The sequence below is a fragment of the Homo sapiens genome, chromosome 6 (genome assembly GCF_000001405.40).
Source record: "Homo sapiens chromosome 6, GRCh38.p14 Primary Assembly".
Lineage (NCBI taxonomy): Eukaryota > Metazoa > Chordata > Mammalia > Primates > Hominidae > Homo > Homo sapiens.
In genome coordinates, this window is record NC_000006.12 from 12,136,578 (window position 1) to 12,154,833 (window position 18,256).

Sequence of the window (18,256 nt, forward strand, 5' to 3'; positions counted from 1 at the left end):
ATTCAGCATGTCATGAGCAGAGCCAGTGAGTGCTTAACGTGTGCTCACCAGAAGCACTTAGCGCAGTGCCTTGCACTGCTCAGCAGCTCCATATTTGTGGAATAAAGCGTTTGTTTACTTCTCCAAAGTGTTTATTATTCCGAAAAGGTTAAATGGCTGTTTTTTTTTAAAAGGTGTTAACAAATTTAAGTATTTATCTCTGACCAATTTTGAGGAAGAATAAACCTGTTCATGTGTTCTAACTCATCAGAGAATAGAAATATGTTTTTGTGAAACTTGTTTTTAACCCAAGGATTTATTGACAAAAGAAAAAAAAAATTGAAAAAGTATTCTGCTTTTTAAAATGCCCTGAATTAAACATTTACGTGCTTGCTATATTTTTCTTAACATGTATGAGTTTGGTCTAGAGAAAATTTCCAAAGAGAAAGTGATGAGGACATCATTGAATATATAGGTAAAAATTCAAAGGCATTTAATCCCTGTAACACACGAAATGAATCAGCCTGAATTTACTTATAAATATACAAGAGAAATGACTCACGTCTTCAGTGATACAGAGCAATTCAGTTGTAAAAAGCTAGGAAAAGTGGAAAAGTGTGTAAGAGTTTCAGCAAGTACGTTCATTACCCACTGACTAGAAAAGGGACAAGGTAAAGCTATTATTATAGTATATACTCATGTATATCTTCTTCAAGAAGATGAGTCTTATAAAAATTAATATGTCTGTAGAATTCTCTAAATTGTTAAGGGAAGGTAGTACTTATATCTTAAATTTGCATAGGAGAATTATAGTTTCTGTTAATTATCATGGATTGTTTACATTTGCTGACTGATTGACCTACCTATGTATTTATTCATTGTTGTATTTTCATCTAATTCCAAAAGCATTTGAACCTGGTCTTAGATTATTACTCAAAGTTGATATCCTAATTCCCTATTTAGATTAGAACTTCTGATAAACAGCGTAGTTTTACCTTTTTCCTTTCAGTTTACTTTTTTTTAAAACTACTGTATTTGTGGGTAGTGTGCTCAAAGTTTTTTTTTTTACAGTGTTTGTCAAATAATAGTGAAGTAGAACACAGAGGTGGAGTTTTGCCAAGTGCTGTGTCATGCTGTGCTAGAGACCTAACATTCTGTGTTGCTACACCAGCAGAATTTATTCCTCTCCTTTTGCTTTATTATAGGCTTGCAGTGTAAGTTTAAATATAGTAAACAGTTGTTGTTTTAAACAAATGATCTTGTTTTATTGTGCTTTTCTGTGCTTTTAAAACATATTTGGAGATTTTTTTACATACAAAAAAGTACAAAGTATTTTGTTGTGTGTACTCATGTATTAACAGCAGAGTTGATTATAAATATTTTCTCATATTTGCTTCACGTTCTTTTCACAAATTCAATATATTTTTTAAAAACCAGCTCAGCAAGGTTATTGCTGCTGAGGGGCAGCTTCCGTTACTCCCCACTCCTTGCCACTCTCCTGTCCCTCTCAGAGGAGCTCTCACTGCACTGGGGGTTTTCCTTTCAGTTCATTCAACGTACATGTATATATCTATGAATAGTATGTGATTTTATGTTTGTATTTTAAATTTGCATAAACAGTACCACTTTGTATGTAGATACCTAGATATTTGCTTTATAATTTTACATTGTTCTCCAGAAGAGACTTTCCATTTCCTCACCTCTTTAATTATACCTAATATTGTTAGAATTTAAATTTTTGGCCAATTTGATGGATTTGTTTGTTGTCTTTCTGGTTTATTGATTACTAAGATTGGGTCTCATTATTCTTTAAAACAAACTTTTACTCCATTAAACTGATGATAGCTGGAGATGGGATTTTGCTTAGCAATTCTGCACATGTCCCTGTTTGAGGGGACAAGTCAGAAGCCTGCAGCATGATGCTGTGTCTGGAGGGTGCACTGTTTCTAGCCTTCCACTAGCCCAGAGTGGTACCAGCTGTTCCTTTTCAGTCTTCTGTGCTGGCTCCTCCTCACCTCCCCAGCCTCTCACATAGGCCCCAGGGCTGTGGCCTTTGATCTCTTCTCTTCCTGTCTGTGCTCACTTTGTAGGTAGTCTCATCCGGTCTCCTGACTTCAGATACCATTTCTGTGCTGATGATGCCCCAGTTCATTCCACATGTGGGTATCATTCTGACTTACCCCACCAGTCTCTGCTGGGGTGTCTAATTAGCATCTCAGGTCTGATGTGTCCCAGATCCCTGGTTCACCCCTTACCTCTAAGCACACTTCCCCCATAGTCTTCCGCCATCCTTCCATCTGCTTGGCCAAAAATCTTGAAGTCATCCTTGATGCCCATCTTTCTCACGTGTTGCCTCTAATCTACCAGTAAAACCTTTTGGCTCTTCACTTCAAAATGTCTTCAGAATCCATCCACTTTTAATCACCTCCAACACCCCACCCCAGCCACATCCTCTCTACTAAATTGCTTCTGGAATAGCTCCTGATTGGTCTCTGTGGTTCTACCCTGTTCCTTTACAGACTATCTTCCACATAGCAGCCAAAGTGGCCTTGTAACAATTGTGTCATTCCTTTGCTTAAAAGCCCCAGGGGTTTCCTGACTCATTTGGAGCACTGGTCAGGCACCCACCAGGAGCTCTGTCTTCCTCCTTACCATCTCCCTGAGGCTCAGCTCCCCAACCTTCCTCCCTCGCGTGCTCAGCTGCAGCCACACGGGTCTCCTGCCTCTTTCTTGAACACCCGCAGCAGGCCCCTGTCTCAGGGACTTTGCACTCCTTTCCTCTGTTAAGAATGCCCTCTAGGAGGATTCCATTCCAAGATGGCCAAATAGGAACAGCTCCAGTCTGCAGTTCCCAGCGTGATTGACGCAGAAGACGGATGATTTCTGCATTTCCAACTGAGGTACCTGGTTCATCTCATTGGGACTGGTTGGACAGTGGGTGCAGCCCACAGAGGGTGAGCCAAAGCAGGGCAAGGCATCGCCTCACCCAGGAAGCACAAGGGGTCAGGGGATTTCCCTTTCCTAGCCAAGGGACGCTGTGACAGACAGTACCTGGAAAAACGGGACACTCCTGCCCAAATACTGCACTTTTCCAACAGTCTTAGCAAATGGCACACCAGAAGATTATATCCCGCATCTGGCTTGGTGGATCCCATGCCCACAGAGCCTTGCTCACTGCTAGCACAGCAGTCTGAGATCTACCTGTGAGGCAGCAGCCTGGCAGAGGGAGTGGCATCTGCCATTGCTGAGGCTTGAGTAGGTAAACAAAGAGGCTGGGGAAGCTCAAACTGGGCAGAGCCCACCGCAGCTCAGCAAGGCAGACTGCCTCTGTAGTCTCCACCTCTGGGGGCAGGGCATAGCTGAGCAAAAGACAGCAGAAACTTCTGCAGGCTTAAACATTCCTGTCTGACAGCTCTGAAGAGAGCAGTGGTTCTCCCAGCATGGTGTTTGAGCTCAGAGAAAGGACAGACTGCCTCCTCAAGTGGGTCCCTGACCCCCGTGTAGCCTAACTAGGAGACACCTCCCCGTAGGGGCCGACTGACACCTCATACAGGCGGGTACCCCTCTGGGGCGAAGCTTCCAGAGGAAGGATCAGGCACCAATATTTGCCGTTCTGCAATATTTGCTGTTCTTCAGCCTCTGCTGGTGATACCCAGGCATACAGGGCCTGGAGTGGACCTCCAGCAAACTCCAACAGATGTGCAGCTGAGGGACCTGACTGTTAGGAGGAAAACTAACAAACAAAAGGATTAGCATCAACATCAACAAAAAGAACATCCACACCAAAACCCCATTTGATGTTGGTGGGTCACCAACATCAAAGACCAAAGGTAGATAAAATCACAATGATGGGGAGAAACCAGACCAGAACATCTGAAAATTCTGAAAACCAGAGACCCTCTTCTCTTCCAAAAGATCGCAGCTCCTCGCCAGCAATGGAACAAAGCTGGATGGAGAATGACTTTGATGAGCTGACAGAAGTAGGCTTCAGAAGGTCAGTAATAACAAACTTTTCCAAGCTAAAGGAGGATGTTTGAACCCATTGCAAGGAAGCTAAAAACCTTGAAAAAAGCTTAGACAAATGGCTAACTAGAATAAACAGTGTAGAGAAGACCTTAAATGACCTGATGGAGCAAAACTGTGGCACGAGAACTACGTGACGCATACACAAGCTTCAATAGCTGATTTGATCAAGTGGAAGAAAGGGTATCAGTGATTGAAGATCAAATTAATGAAATAAAGCGAGAAGAGAAGGTTAGAGAAAAAAGAGTAGAAAGAAACGAACAAAGCCTCCAAGAAATATGGGACTATGTGAAAAAACCAAATCTACATTTGATTGGTGTACCTGAAAGTGACGGGGAGAATGGAACCAAGTTGGAAAACACTCTTAGGGATATTATCCAGGAGAACTTCCCCAACCTAGCAAGGCAGGCCAATATTCAAATTTAGGAAATACAGAGAACACCACAAAGATACTCCTTGAGAAGAGCAACCGCAAGACACATAATTGTCAGATTCACCAAGGTTGAAATGAAGGGAAAAATGTTAAGGACAGCCAGAGAGAAAGGTCGGGTCACCCACAAAGGGAAACCCATCAGACTTAACAGCAGATCTCTCGGCAGAAACTCTACAAGCCAGAAGAGAGTGGGGGCTGGTATTCAGCATTCTTAAAGAAAAGAATTTTCAACCCAGAATTTCATATCTAGCCAAACTAAGCCTCATAAGTGAAGGAGAAAAAAAAATCCTTTATAGACAAGCAAATGCTGAGAGATTTTGTCACCACCAGACCTGCCTTACGAGAGTTCCTGAAGGAAGCACTAAACATGGAAAGGAACAACCAGTACCAGCTACTGCAAAAACATGCCAAATTGTAAAGACCATCAATGCTTGGAAGAAACTGCATCAACTAACGGGCAAAATAACCAGCTAACATAGTGACGGGATCAAATTCACACATAACAATATTAACCTTTAATGTAAATGGGCTAAATGCCTCAATTAAAAGACACAGGCAAATTGGATAAAGAGACAAGACCCATCAGTGTGCTGTATTCAGGAGACCCATCTCACATGCAGTGACACACATAGACTCAAAATAAAGGGATGGAAGAAGATCTACCAAGCAAATGGAAAGCAAAAAAAAAAAAAAAAAAAAAAAAAAAAAGCAGGGGTTGCAATCCTAGTCTCTGATAAAACAGACTAAACCAGTAAAGATCAGAAGAGACAAAGAAGGCCATTACATAATGGCAAAGGGATCAATTCAACAAGAAGAGCTAACTATCCTAAATATATATGCACCCAATACAGGAGCACCCAGATTCATAAAGCAAGTCCTTAGAGACCTACAAAGAGACTTAGACTCCCATACAATAATAATGGGAGACTTTAACACCCCACTGTCAGTATTAGACAGATCAACAAGACAGAAGGTTAACAAGGATATCTAGGACTTGAACTCCGCTCTGCACCAAGCAGACCTAAGAGACATCTACAGAACTCTCCACCACAAATCAAGAGAATATACATTCTTCTCAGCACCACATCGCCCTTATTCTAAAATTGACCACATAGTTGGAAGTAAAGCACTCCTCAGCAAATGTAAAAGAACAGAAATCACAACAAACTGTCTCTCAGACCACAGTGCAATCCAATTAGAACTCAGGATTAAGAAACTCACTCAAAACCGCACAACTACATGGAAACTGAACAACATGCTCCTGAATGGCTGATGGGTAAGTAATGAAATGAAGGCAGAAATAAAGATGTTCTTTGAAACCAGTGAGAACCAAGACACAACATATCAGAATCTCTGGGACATATTTAAAGCAGTGTGTAGAGGGACATTTATAGCACTAAATGCCCACAAGAGAAAGCAGGAAAGATGTAAAATCAACACCTAGCATCAAAATTAAAGGAACTAGAGAAGCAAGAGCAAACAAATTCAAAAGCCAGCAGAAGGCAAGAAATAACTAAGATCAGAGCAGAACTGAAGGAGATAGAGACACAAAAAAACCCTTGAAAAAATCAATGAATCCAGGAGCTGGTTTTTTGAAAAGATCAACAAAATTGATAGACTGCTAGCAAGACTAATAAAGAAGAAAAGAGAGAAGAATCAAACAGACACAATAAAAAATGATAAAGGGGCTATCACCACTGATCCCACAGAATACAAACTATCATCAGAGAATACTATAAACACCTCTATGCAAATAAACTAGAAAATCTAGAAGAAATGGATAAATTCCTGGACACATACACCCTCCCAAGACTAAACCAGGAAGAAGTTCAATCTCTGAATAGACTAATAACAGGCTCTGAAATTGAGGCAATAATTAATAGGCTACCAACCAAAAAAAGTCCAGGACCAGATGGATTTACAGCTGAATTCTACCAGAGGTACAAAGAGGAGCTGGTACCATTCCTTCTGAAACTATTCCAATCAATAGAAAAAGAGGGAATCCTCCCTAACTCATTTCATGAGGCCAGCATCATCCTGATACCAAAGCCTGGCAGAGACATAACAAAAAAAAGAGAATTTTAGACCAATATCCCTGATGAACATCGATGTGAAAATCCTCAATAAAATACTGGCAAACCAAACCCAGCAGCACATCTAAAAGTTTATCCACCATGATCAAGTCGGCTTCATCCCTGGGATGCAAGGCTGGTTCAACATATGCAAATCAATAAACATAATCCATCACATAAACAGAACCAATGACAAAAACCACATGATTATCTCAATAGATGCAGAAAAGGCTTTCAACAAAATTCAATAGCCCTTCATGCTAAAAAATCTCAATAAGCTAGGTATTGATGGAACGTATCTCAAAATAATAAGAGCTATTTATGACAAACCCACAACCAATATCATACTGAATGAGCAAAAGCTGGAAGCAGTCCCTTTGAAAAATGGCACAAGACAAGGATGCCCTCTCTCACCACTCCTATTCAAAATAGTGTTGGAAGTTCTGGCCAAGGCAATCAGGCAAGAGAAAGAAATAAAGGGTGTTCAATTAGGAAAAGAAGAAGTCAAATTGTCCCTGTTTGCAGATGACATGATTGTATATTTAGAAAACCCCATTGTCTCAGCCCAAAATCTCCTTAAGCTGATAAACAACTTCAGCAAAGTCTCAGGATGCAAAATCAATGTGCAAAAATCACAAGCATTCCTATACACCAATAACAGACAAACGGAGAGCCAAATCATGAGTGAACTCCCATTCCCAATTGCTAAAAAGAGAATAAAATATCTAAGAATCCAACTTACAAGGGATGTGAAGGACCTCTTCAAGGAGAACTACAAACCACTGCTCAACAAAATAAAAGAGGACACAAACAAATGGAAGAACATTCCATGCTCATGGATAGGAAGAATCAACAACGTGAAAATGGCCATACTGCCCAAGGTAATTTATAGACCATCTCCATCAAGCTACCAATGACTTTCTTCACGGAACTGGAAAAAAACTACTTTAAAGTTCATATGGAACCAAAAAACAGCCCACGTTGCCAAGACAATCCTAAGCAAAAGGAACAAAGCTGGAGGCATCATGCTATCTGACTTCAAACTATACGACAAGGCTACAGTAACCAAACAGCATGGTACTGGTACCAAAACAGATATATAGACCAATGGAACAGAACAGAGGCCTCAGAAATAACACCACACATCTACAACCAGCTGATCTTTGACAAATCTAACAAAAACAAGAAAAGGGGAAAGGATTCCCTATTTAATAAACAGTGCTGGGAAAACTGGCTAGCCATATGTAGAAAGCTGAAACTGGATCCCTTCCTTACACCTTATACAAAAATTGATTCAAGATGGGTTAAAGACTTAAATGTTAGACCTAAAACCATAAAAACCCTAGAAGAAAACCTAGGCAATACCATTCAGAACATAGACATGGGCAAGGACTTCATGTCTAAAACACCAAAAGCAATGGCAACAGAAGACAAAATAGACAAATGGGATCTAATTAAACTAAAGAGCTTCTGCACGAAACTACCATCAGAGTGAACAGGCAACCTATGGAATGGGAGAAAATTTTTGCAATCTACTCATCTGACAAAGGGCTAATATCCAGAATCTACAAATAACTCAAACAAGTTTACAAGAAAAAAAACAACCCCATCCAAAAGTGGGCAAAGGATATGAACAGACACTTCTCAAAAGAAGACATTTATGCAGCCAACAGACACATGAAAAAATGCTCATCATCACTGGTCATCAGAGAAATGCAAATCAAAACCACAGTGAGATACCATCTCACACCAGTTAGAATGGCGATCATTAAAAAGTTGGAAGCAACAGATGATGGAGAGGATGTGGGGAAATCGGAACGCTTTTACACTATTGGTGGGAGTGTAAACTAGTTCAACCATTGTGGAAGACAGTGTGGCAATTCCTCAAGGATCTAGAACTAGAAATACCATTTGATCCAGCCATCCCATTACTGGGTATATACCCAAAGGATTATAAATCATGCTACTATAAAGACACATGCACACGTATGTTTATTGCGGCACTATTAACAATAGCAAAGACTTGGAACCAACCCAGATGTCCATCAATTATAGACTGGATTAAGAAAATGTGGCACATATTTACCATGGAATACTCTGCAGCCATAAAAAAGGATGAGTTCATGTCCTTTGCAGACTTGGATGCAGCTGGAAATCATCATTCTGAGTAAACTGTCACAAGGACAGAAAACCAAACACCGCATGTTCTCACTCACAGATGGGAATTGAACAATGAGAACACTTGAACACAGGGAGGGGAACATCACACCCTGGGGCCTGTCATGGGGTGGGGGCCTGGGGGAGGGATAGCATTAGGAGATATACCTAATGTAAATGACTAGTTTATGGGTGCAGCAAACCAACATGGCACATGTATACCCTATGTAACAAACCTGCACGTTGTGCATATGTACCCTAGAACTTAAAGTATAAAAAAAAAAAAAAAAAAGAACGCCCTCTACCAGATACTGTGAGACTTACGCCACCCTGCCTTCAGCTCTCTAGCAGATGTCGTTTGATCAGTGGGGCCTTCCTGAATATAAATATATGTAATATAAATATATATAAAAACAAAAGGCACCTCACCCTCTTACTGCTAGCATCACTTACGCCCTTTATTCTGTTTTCTTTTTCCTCATAGCACTTAACCACCACCAGACACTTGTGTGCGTGTTTATTATCTATTTCTTCCAACTAGAAAATAAATTATATAAGGGCAAAGATGATGTTTTGCTTGCTGCTGTATCTTCAGCTCCTTAGGATTGTGCCTGGCAAATAGTAGGTAATAAACAGTTGTTTATTGAATTACTAGAAAAAAATCTCTAAAATCTGTAGTCCTGCAGCATGTGAAGAAGGAATATTAGACTCTGCCTGCCTTTCTGAAAGTGACATATACTTAAGTGATGCTAATAGGATATGTAAGAACATGCTTCATATGTTTGAGCCTTGATGATCTCTGACAGGAGAAATGGGGTAAACCTTTTTTTAAAAAGGACAGTATAATCTGTTCTTGGCAGCAGCTTTCTATAATCTAGGAAATAATTCAATATTATTAATTTTCGAATTAGATATAGTCGGCCGGGTGCAGTGGCTCACACCTGTAATCCCAGCACTTTGGGAGGCCAAAGCAGGCGGATCATCTGAGGTCGGGAGTTCAAGACCAGCCTGACTAACATGGAGAAATCCTGTCTCAACTAAAAATATAAAAATTAGCCAGGCATGATGGCGCATGCCTGTAATCCCAGCTGTTTGGGAGGCTGAGGCAAGAGAATTGCTTGAACCTAGGAGGCGGAGATTGCGGTGAGCCGAGATGGTGCCATTGCACTCCAGCCCGGGCAACAAGAGCTAAACTCCATCTCAAAAAAATAATAATAATAGTAATTAGATATAATCGTTTTTCATTAAATTCCTTCACTAAAATCAAATGGTAACTGTGCTACTTGATACCTTTACTTATAAATAGTGTTTATGTTATATGGCCAAGGTCAGTATAGGTATTGTTAATGTGATAATGGCATTTGTTTATTAATTTGTTATTTATTGGTTATTGGAGCAGATTACTAGAAGGTAATTCAAGTTTTTTGACTATTCTGTGTTCTCATCCTCAGTAATGATCATTCCAGGTTGATAAAGATCTGTTCTGTTTTTTAATAGCTCCAGAGGAGAAAAGTTTATTCTCTTTTTGAATGATTTTTTTTTTTTATGTATCACTTCGGCACCTATTCAATGTGTGCACAATTACTATCGCCCAGGAGCTCCTGGCTGATTACTATGATGTGGCATGAGCCCAAATTTGGCAAGGTTCACTTCCCAAGGCTGGAATCAGGGAAAGACCGGTGATGGCCAAAGTGGTCCCAGAAGGAAGGGAAGGAATTTATTTATCCCTACACTGCTGCATTTGGAAGGCTGTTGGTGAGGAGGGAAAGGAAGGGCAAACATTCTAGACCAAGGAGTTGCTTGACCGAAGACACACAGGTTGGGGAAGAGGAATAGGGTATAAGAGTGTGAATGGGACAGAAAAACAAGAGAGTTCCACAGGGCCCAAGGCTGGGAAGCAGGCTGGGGGACAGGTAATAGATGCTGTGCAGGGGAGTTTCAGCATGAGAACTGCCATTTCAGGTTTAAACTCTATTCACTGGGCTTGGATACAATGAACACCCCTGTCATGTCAGTTTATACCCATTTCTTCATGTTCTGACACTTGAAAACTATTATTTTTTAGATAGGATTCTTGAGTATTTTAATTTTTCTAAATAGTGACACATACAGTGTTTCTTTGATTACAAAAGTCTGAACCGAAGTTGTTTAAAGCTATTGCCCCTTTAGGACCACATATATCTGACTTTTATCCTGGGTTATGTTCTCAAATGTTCTGGAGACAAAAGATTATAGGGCTTTTAATCTGTGACCCTTGAATTTTCATTGTTGAGGTTTGTTGTTTGTTTGTTTGTTTTTTGCTGTTGCTGCTGTTTTATTTTGTAGTGGGAATTTAGACAGTAATGACAGAAAGAAGCATGTTTCATTAAGTGGATGATCCCATTCAGCAACAATAATACTAATACTCCCACAGAGCCAAAGCCTTTTTTCTGGGTGGATGAGTGTTTTATAAAAGAAGTACCTCAGGACTTCAGCCTCTCTCATTCTCCACCAGATGGAGTTTAACAGTTTGGATGGAAAGTCTGAAATGATTTTCCCTTGTGATATCCCGTTTTTTATGTCTATGTATAAATGTATAATGACTAATTTGGAAATAGCGCTATCAATTTATTAAACTAGGAAGCATTATTTCCCCTGGAATTAGTTTCTGCTCTGGCCCAGGATCACTGTGGTGTAGAACTTTCACCACAGAATAGCCTCTGGTAAAAGATGAGGCCTGTACTTGTCCTACTTTAACGCTTCTGTATATGTTTTAAAACCTTGCCCCAATCAACTCTATAAGAATGTTATAAAGAGAGCAGTGTGTTATGAAGTGTTTCATTTTACTAACAATTTTATTTTCCAAAGAAAAATGCAAATGATTACTATATTAGACATACAGTAGGAGTAGAAGAAGTGGCTGACTTAAAACATGATGAAGGAGAATAAAATGTTTCTGGTGCTACAGTTTCAAGTTTTGAAGTGGACAGCCCAGCAGAACAAAGCTAGGGAGACCTGGGGGCTGGTCACTGTCGAGTGAGCTCATGTGCCTGGTTCCCCCCTGCATCCTCTTCACACCCCGATGCGTCTCCACCTCCCTCATCATAGGGGATACCTGCCCCTCTTGGGGAGCAGGCTCTTGGCAGCAGCTCTTTTGAGAAGTGAGCCACTATGTAAAGCCTCTGCCATTCTTGAGAGTCCTGCCTGACAGTGTATTCTCCATTTTCTTAGCCCAGTCAGTGAGGATAAGTGAAAACATTGTATCGTGTAAAGTGGGATATTTTAACACACAAACTTGCTGTCTTTTCCTTTTAATGGTGAACAACCTTTTGTGGTATCATGGGGTCTTGATATCATCTCTCATCTTCTTAATCTAACATAATTCGAATATTAGTCATGTTACACAAACAGACTGCTAGAAACCACACCGGGATTTCATTTGCTGTGTGTCAACAGTAGAAATTCAGGACAATCCTCTGGTTTTGCCAGCAGTAAGTTTCCACAACAGTTATCAAAGTCAGCCTCTTTTATTCCAAACAGTGATTTTGGTGGCTTTTCAGACACCTTTCATTATGTCTTCACACCTGCAGTTATCGAAGGATGTCTGGTCTAGCTATATGAAAACTGAAAATCCAAAATAACCCAGGAAACTCTTTTATTTCCTGGGTTCTCCCAAACACAGTCGAAGTATGTCGTTTCATCATGCTAACAGATTATAGATGACTATTAGATAATATAGTGCTGAAAGAAAAATGTCCCACATCAGGAGCCACGTGTCTTTTCAGGAACCAGTACTATGAAACATCAAGTCTTGATCAGTATGAAAATTGTCTTCTCTGTTTTGGTAGGTACACTTCCTGTTTCCTAACAACAGGGTGGTAGTGACATCAGTAGTGGGGTCCTGCCGCATGTGAAGAGGGAATATTAGACTCAGCATGCTTTTCTGAAAGTGATGTATACTTGATACTAATAGGATATTTAAGAACATGCCTTATATGTTTGAGTCTTGATGATCTCTGACATGGAAAATGGGGTAAACCTTTTTTTAAAAAGGACAAAATTTGGGAGACCTGATTGTAAATCTAAAAAGTCACAACCCCTGCCAGAGTTTGCAGAACAGTAGCCAGAAACCTAAGGATTGTGTTTTTAGGTTTATAGGACACATTTGGGGGCTTAGTCATTTAACTGATCTTTTCTGTAGCATAAACATAATCATCACCAGGAAACGTCTCTGAGCTTTCATTCATTAAACAAAATGTACTAAACACTTAAGAGGCAGTCAGTGTTACTACAAAGCACCCCAGTATAGTACTTATTTTTTAAACATCATTACCACTTGGTAATATCTCCGTCAGCTCATAGCGTTCTGGAAAAAGCCCAGGTCTTATGCTGTGTTTGTGCTGAGTTGCTCCCTTACATGTGCATTGTTTTGTTTTTCACTAAAGGTTTTCTCCATATTTCTTTCTAATTAATGTCAGTGTTTTCCAAGCATTATCTTCAGTCTTTTCCTTTTAAGGATCCTAGACCTGTTCTCTACTCTGCCAACCACACCATACCCAGGTTATCATTCACCATCATATTGTGCCTGGTCCCTGGTTGATAAAGAGTGTTCATTAAAGGGTGATGTGAAAATGATGTGATGAAAGGCCACAGACCCCTTCTGAATTCTTTACCACCCTTAGCAACAGCAGGCTGCGCGGTACCTGTCTTATCTTTTAGCAGATGGAATTCATGTTCTAATTCTCAATGGAATAAATTAGGGGATGTTGGGAAACGTTTGCGTTTAATGAAGCAGGAGGAATTATACATTTTTATAAGCCAGCCATTAAAATGTGGACATTCGGCATTTAAAAGAAGTTTCTATTTAGTTTAAAACTAGCAACTTGAGCTGCAATGATAAGAAATGCTCATGGGAAGCCTAATCCCTCTGCTCCACTGCACATTCCCTTGTTTTCTTGCCATAAAACATGATATAGCCTCGGGAATTTTGTTCTCCTGTTCTTGGGGTATTAGTGACTACATTTTAGTTTTCACCTTTTGTGTCAAAATTCAAGCCGCCAGCAATTTGCTTTTCATCCTTTGATCCGAAGAATGTTTTCGTCAACAAATGCTGGACTTCAGTGCACGGAATGTTAATGTGTACCCTCAGCCGCCAGCTAGGAGAACCGTTTAATATGACGAAGTGCAGTGAGAAGCATTATTCTTGTTGGAGTTTAAGTACTTACAGTAAAGATGATGTTTGATCACAGGTTTTAAAACCTATATCACATTTACTCTTAAAAATAATTTAGGTGCATTTTTAAAAATTACTAGCAAAGCTTTTTTTCCAAATGAAACCTGTAGAATATATTATCATCGGGATTTTTATAGAACACATTATTACTCTTTTTAAGAAACACTTCCATGTGTAGAATATGAAACCATAATAGGCTTTAGGATTTATACTTAAAGCAGTGCTAATATTATTTTGAATGACACGCACGTGACACAGTATTTTGGTTTACTTCCTAAAGTTAAACATTAAACTCTGCCCCATTATGTTTTTAATGATGATTTTATCTTTAAAATATATATATATAATTGTATTCACATTCTTTAAAAAAATTTTTTCCCTAGGTTGCCATTGTTTATCTGGCTTTCAGAGCAATATTTCTAAACATATGTGAAAAACAAAAACAGGCAAACTTCAACAACAAAAGAAGGTTGCTACTGAGTGTACGTGGGCCAGGTTGCTACCCTCGGGAGCCCCTTCTCTCAGGGAGCCCCTCCTGCTGCTTTTGCGACTCCGACTCTTCCAGCAGGTGTCACTGTCTGGCAGCAGTGGGCGAGCAGGTTGCGGTTCACCTGACTCATCTTCAAATAATAACTTTTAAAATTTATCTTTAGGGAAGTTGTTTGACGTAAATGTATCAAAACTTTGACAAAAATGTTGCTACATCATATGCCTGATTTTTCCCTCATGAATTGAAATTCACAGAAAATAAAGGAATTAATCTTGTGCTGATATAAAATTTTATTGAGTATTAGAAACATTTGTTTATAATGAGAGGGGAATGTGGCTGGGAGGACATAATTAAATGAAACTTTTAGGACCATTTATTTATGAATTTGCTAAGCAAATATAGATTCCTTAGGTCTGTTCTAGAGTCTCTGATGGCTGCAAAGGGGTAAGCCACAGTGCTTACCCTCCTGAAGTATTAGTGTGTATTATACACACCAAGAAAGGAACAATTGTAATAGAAAAGGAGAAAGTCAGTGTATCTTATTGGCATAATGACAGGGCTCCTAAGTTCATAGAAACCTGTTTTTGAATCCTGGCTTTGATGCATTCTAATCATATACAGTACAAGCGTCTTAACTTCCTTGTGGACGATGGGTGTGGTATCAACTCTGTCATGGGTGGTAATTAGGTTTAAACCTGGAGGGTGATGTGGCATAGATGTTGGCAAACTTTTTAATGTCAAGGGCTGGATAGTAAATATTTTAGGCTTTGCAAGCCACCTATTCTCTGTCATGAATACTAAACTGTGACTGTAGCACAAAAGCAGCCACAGACAGTATATAAAGAAATGAGCCTGGCTGTGTTCCAATAAAACTTTATCCACAAGAACCAGTGGAGAGCCACATGCAGCTGGTGACCATAGTTTGCCAATCCCTGATATAACCATTACTCACCTGTAATCCCAACACTTTGGGAGGCCGAGGCGGGTGGATCACCTGAGGTCAGGAGTTCGAGACCAGCCTGGACAACATGGTGAAACCCCATCTCTACTAAAAATTCAAAAATTAGCCAGGCATGGTGGCGGGCACCTGTAATCCCAGCTACTCGGGAGGCTGAAGCAGGAGAATCGCTTGAACCTGGGAGGCAGAGGTTGCAGTGAGCCAGGATTATGCCACTGCACTCCAGCCTGGGTGACGGAGCAAGACTCCAAGACTTCATCTCAAAAAAACAAAAAAAGACAACAACAAAAAAACCAGTTACTCAACATAGTATCATAGTTGTTACATTAAGTAACATGCAGTAGCAAAGTAAGCAGTATCACAGAGTCATATATGACAAGTGTTTTGAGTCCATAACAAGTCCTCGTTCTTGTCCTCGCAGACTTGTTGATCCCAGGCAAGGCACTTTTCCTTTCTGGGTCTTTTATCAGTACGACTTTTGATTCAGCAGCAGTAGTCTTGTTTAGGGGGCAGGGGCAGAGGTTAAGGGGGACAGGGAAGTATATAAAGGACTTTTATTCTTATGAATCCAAACAGAGGGCAGAGTTGTCTGTGCTTTGTTTTGGTGCCATGGATGTTTAAAAGGATACCATTGTCTTCTGTTCATTTAAGCTACCCATTTTATCTTTTCTCTGTTACCCAGAATATCAGTCCTGTTTAACAAATATGTAATGATTCAAAATTCATTTGCAGGTTTTTAAACTTTGACAGTGGTCTCCTCTAGCAGAGATTTCAGATACTATGTATTCAGAGACAGAAACATCATTCTGTGCTTATCTCAGTGAAAGAAACCCAGGAAAGGAATCCCAGCCCCTCCTACATCCTCTCCAAGCTACAGGCATGTGGCTCATCCAGGAGGGGAGAAGGGAGCAGAGAAGCCACCCTGGGTGTCTTCTCACCCATACTGCTAATCCTGACCTGACCTGAAATTTAATATAATCAAGGCAAAATCAGATTAAAATGGAGCCAAATAGTTTTACACTTCAAATAGTTTTTACGTACATAAAAAATATATGGTGTTCGTTTTAAATTATTCATATTATTTGCATATGCTAAAAAAGAAATCAGCATGCTTCTTGAAATGTCTTAACAATTTAAAATATTTATAATATAACTGATTCTTAAACTTTTATATAATGCAGTATATTTGAAATTTTAAAAGTTCAATTATTTACATTCTCCTTGGGAACTACATTTTATATATTCTGTTACTTGTAATCAAATAATTATATGACATTCTTAATGTCTGTACCTACAAACATTGAATTCATGCATATTTATAAGGTAGCTTATTGACTATAATTCATTGTTGACCTTTCTGATGATTCTGTAGTTAGATTTTTAAAATATGATTGAATGTGGAATATCTAGGCATAGACTAACATGGGTTTGAATCTTAGCTGTGACATTTATGAGCTGTGGGCTCAACACTTTAAAAGTAATTAACTGCATTTTTCATCTTTTAAATCATTCTCTGAGAAAAAGTCAACTCCTTAATTAGTCCTTGTTTGAATTATGATCAAATAGTATTGGTTTGTACAGAATGATGCTAACTTAGGATCCAGGCTATAGATGGCTGCAACCGGAATAGAGCCATTTAGTCATCATATGTACAATAGAGTAAGAAATGCAAAAAAAAAAAAAAAAAAAAAATAGATACAAGATAAGAGCACTTTTAGGTTCTAAGAATTTAAAATGTGTATCTAGGTTAGAGTGAATTGGGGTGAAATTTCCTGTGCTTCCAAGTTAACCAGTAGAAGTGTTGAAATTGATTTCAAGAATTGATAGTGTCCTATTAAACAATCAGAAGACAGAAGGTACTAGTGAGAAGTCTTGATTTGACTATGGGGCTAATAGGGAGGTGCTTGTTGTGCAAGCTTATGTGAGAGAATAGCTGTATCAGTAGAGTAAAAGACCCTAGAGCGGGCTGGGTGCAGTGGCTCACGCCTGTAATCCCAGCACTTTGGGAGGCCAAGGCAGGTAGATCACTTGAGGTCAGGTGTTCAAGACCCGCCTGACCAACATGGTGAAACCCCGTCTCTACTAAAAGTGCAAAAATTAGCCAGGCATGGTGGCGGATGCCTGTGATCCCAGCTACTCAGGAGGCTGAGGCAAGAGAATCAGTTGAAGCTGGGAGGCGGAGGTTGCAGTGTACATGTGTATTCCATATATACAAGTGAAGATATGAATCCATACTGATAACTTCCAGTCCAGCACCACTGAATTTATTCTAGTCGTCTCCATTTCCTTCTCTTCTTCACCCACAGTGAGAAACCTGGTTCGCACCTACAGTATGTTTACATATTTGCTCAGTTCTAGTATATAAATAAACTAGTTTCAGAAATCCTTACCTTTACTCCTGTAAGAAACAGATTTAAAATTACGTGCAGCGTGTGCCATTCTTGTCTCTAGCCTTCACAGTCTCCAGTCAAAACCCTCTTTGCCAAGGTTATCTAGGACAGGACCTTACTTTCCATGCCCTTAGCGTGGCTGTGCCATCCATGCAGCTGCAGTCAGAGCCGTCTGTCTCAGCTTGCATTCCTCTTAGGTTCACCTCACATCCTAGTTGATTCCGTTTTTATTTACTTACAATAGAATTTACTTTATGGTGTATAGTACGTGGTTTCTGACAAATGCATAGAATTGTATGTTCATCACATGGACACAAGGAGGGGAACATCACACACCAGGGTCTGTTGGGGGTGGGGGACAAGGGGAGGGAGAGCATTAGGACAAATACCTAATGCATACGGGGCTTGAAACCTAGAAGACGGGTTGATGGGTGCAGCAAACCTCCCTGGCACATGTATACCTCCATGGCACATGTATGTAACAAACCTGCACATTTGCCACATGTATCCCTGAACTTAAAGTATAATAAATTTTTTAAAAA

The 18,256-nt window shown here is 39.8% G+C and overlaps 1 protein-coding gene across 16 annotated transcripts in view, besides 1 other annotated feature; it reads left to right on the forward strand.

The window, feature by feature from the left end:
* Positions 1-18,256, forward strand: part of HIVEP1 (HIVEP zinc finger 1) — a 204,356-nt gene that overhangs the window by 128,885 nt on the left and 57,215 nt on the right. The gene's annotated exons all lie outside the window — the stretch shown is intronic.
* Positions 2,030-2,109: an enhancer, noted in NCBI's record as "active region_24011". NCBI's record gives its function as "activates an Ori minimal core promoter by ATAC-STARR-seq in GM12878 lymphoblastoid cells {active_cell/tissue: GM12878}" and the evidence as "EXISTENCE:reporter gene assay evidence [ECO:0000049][PMID:35858748]".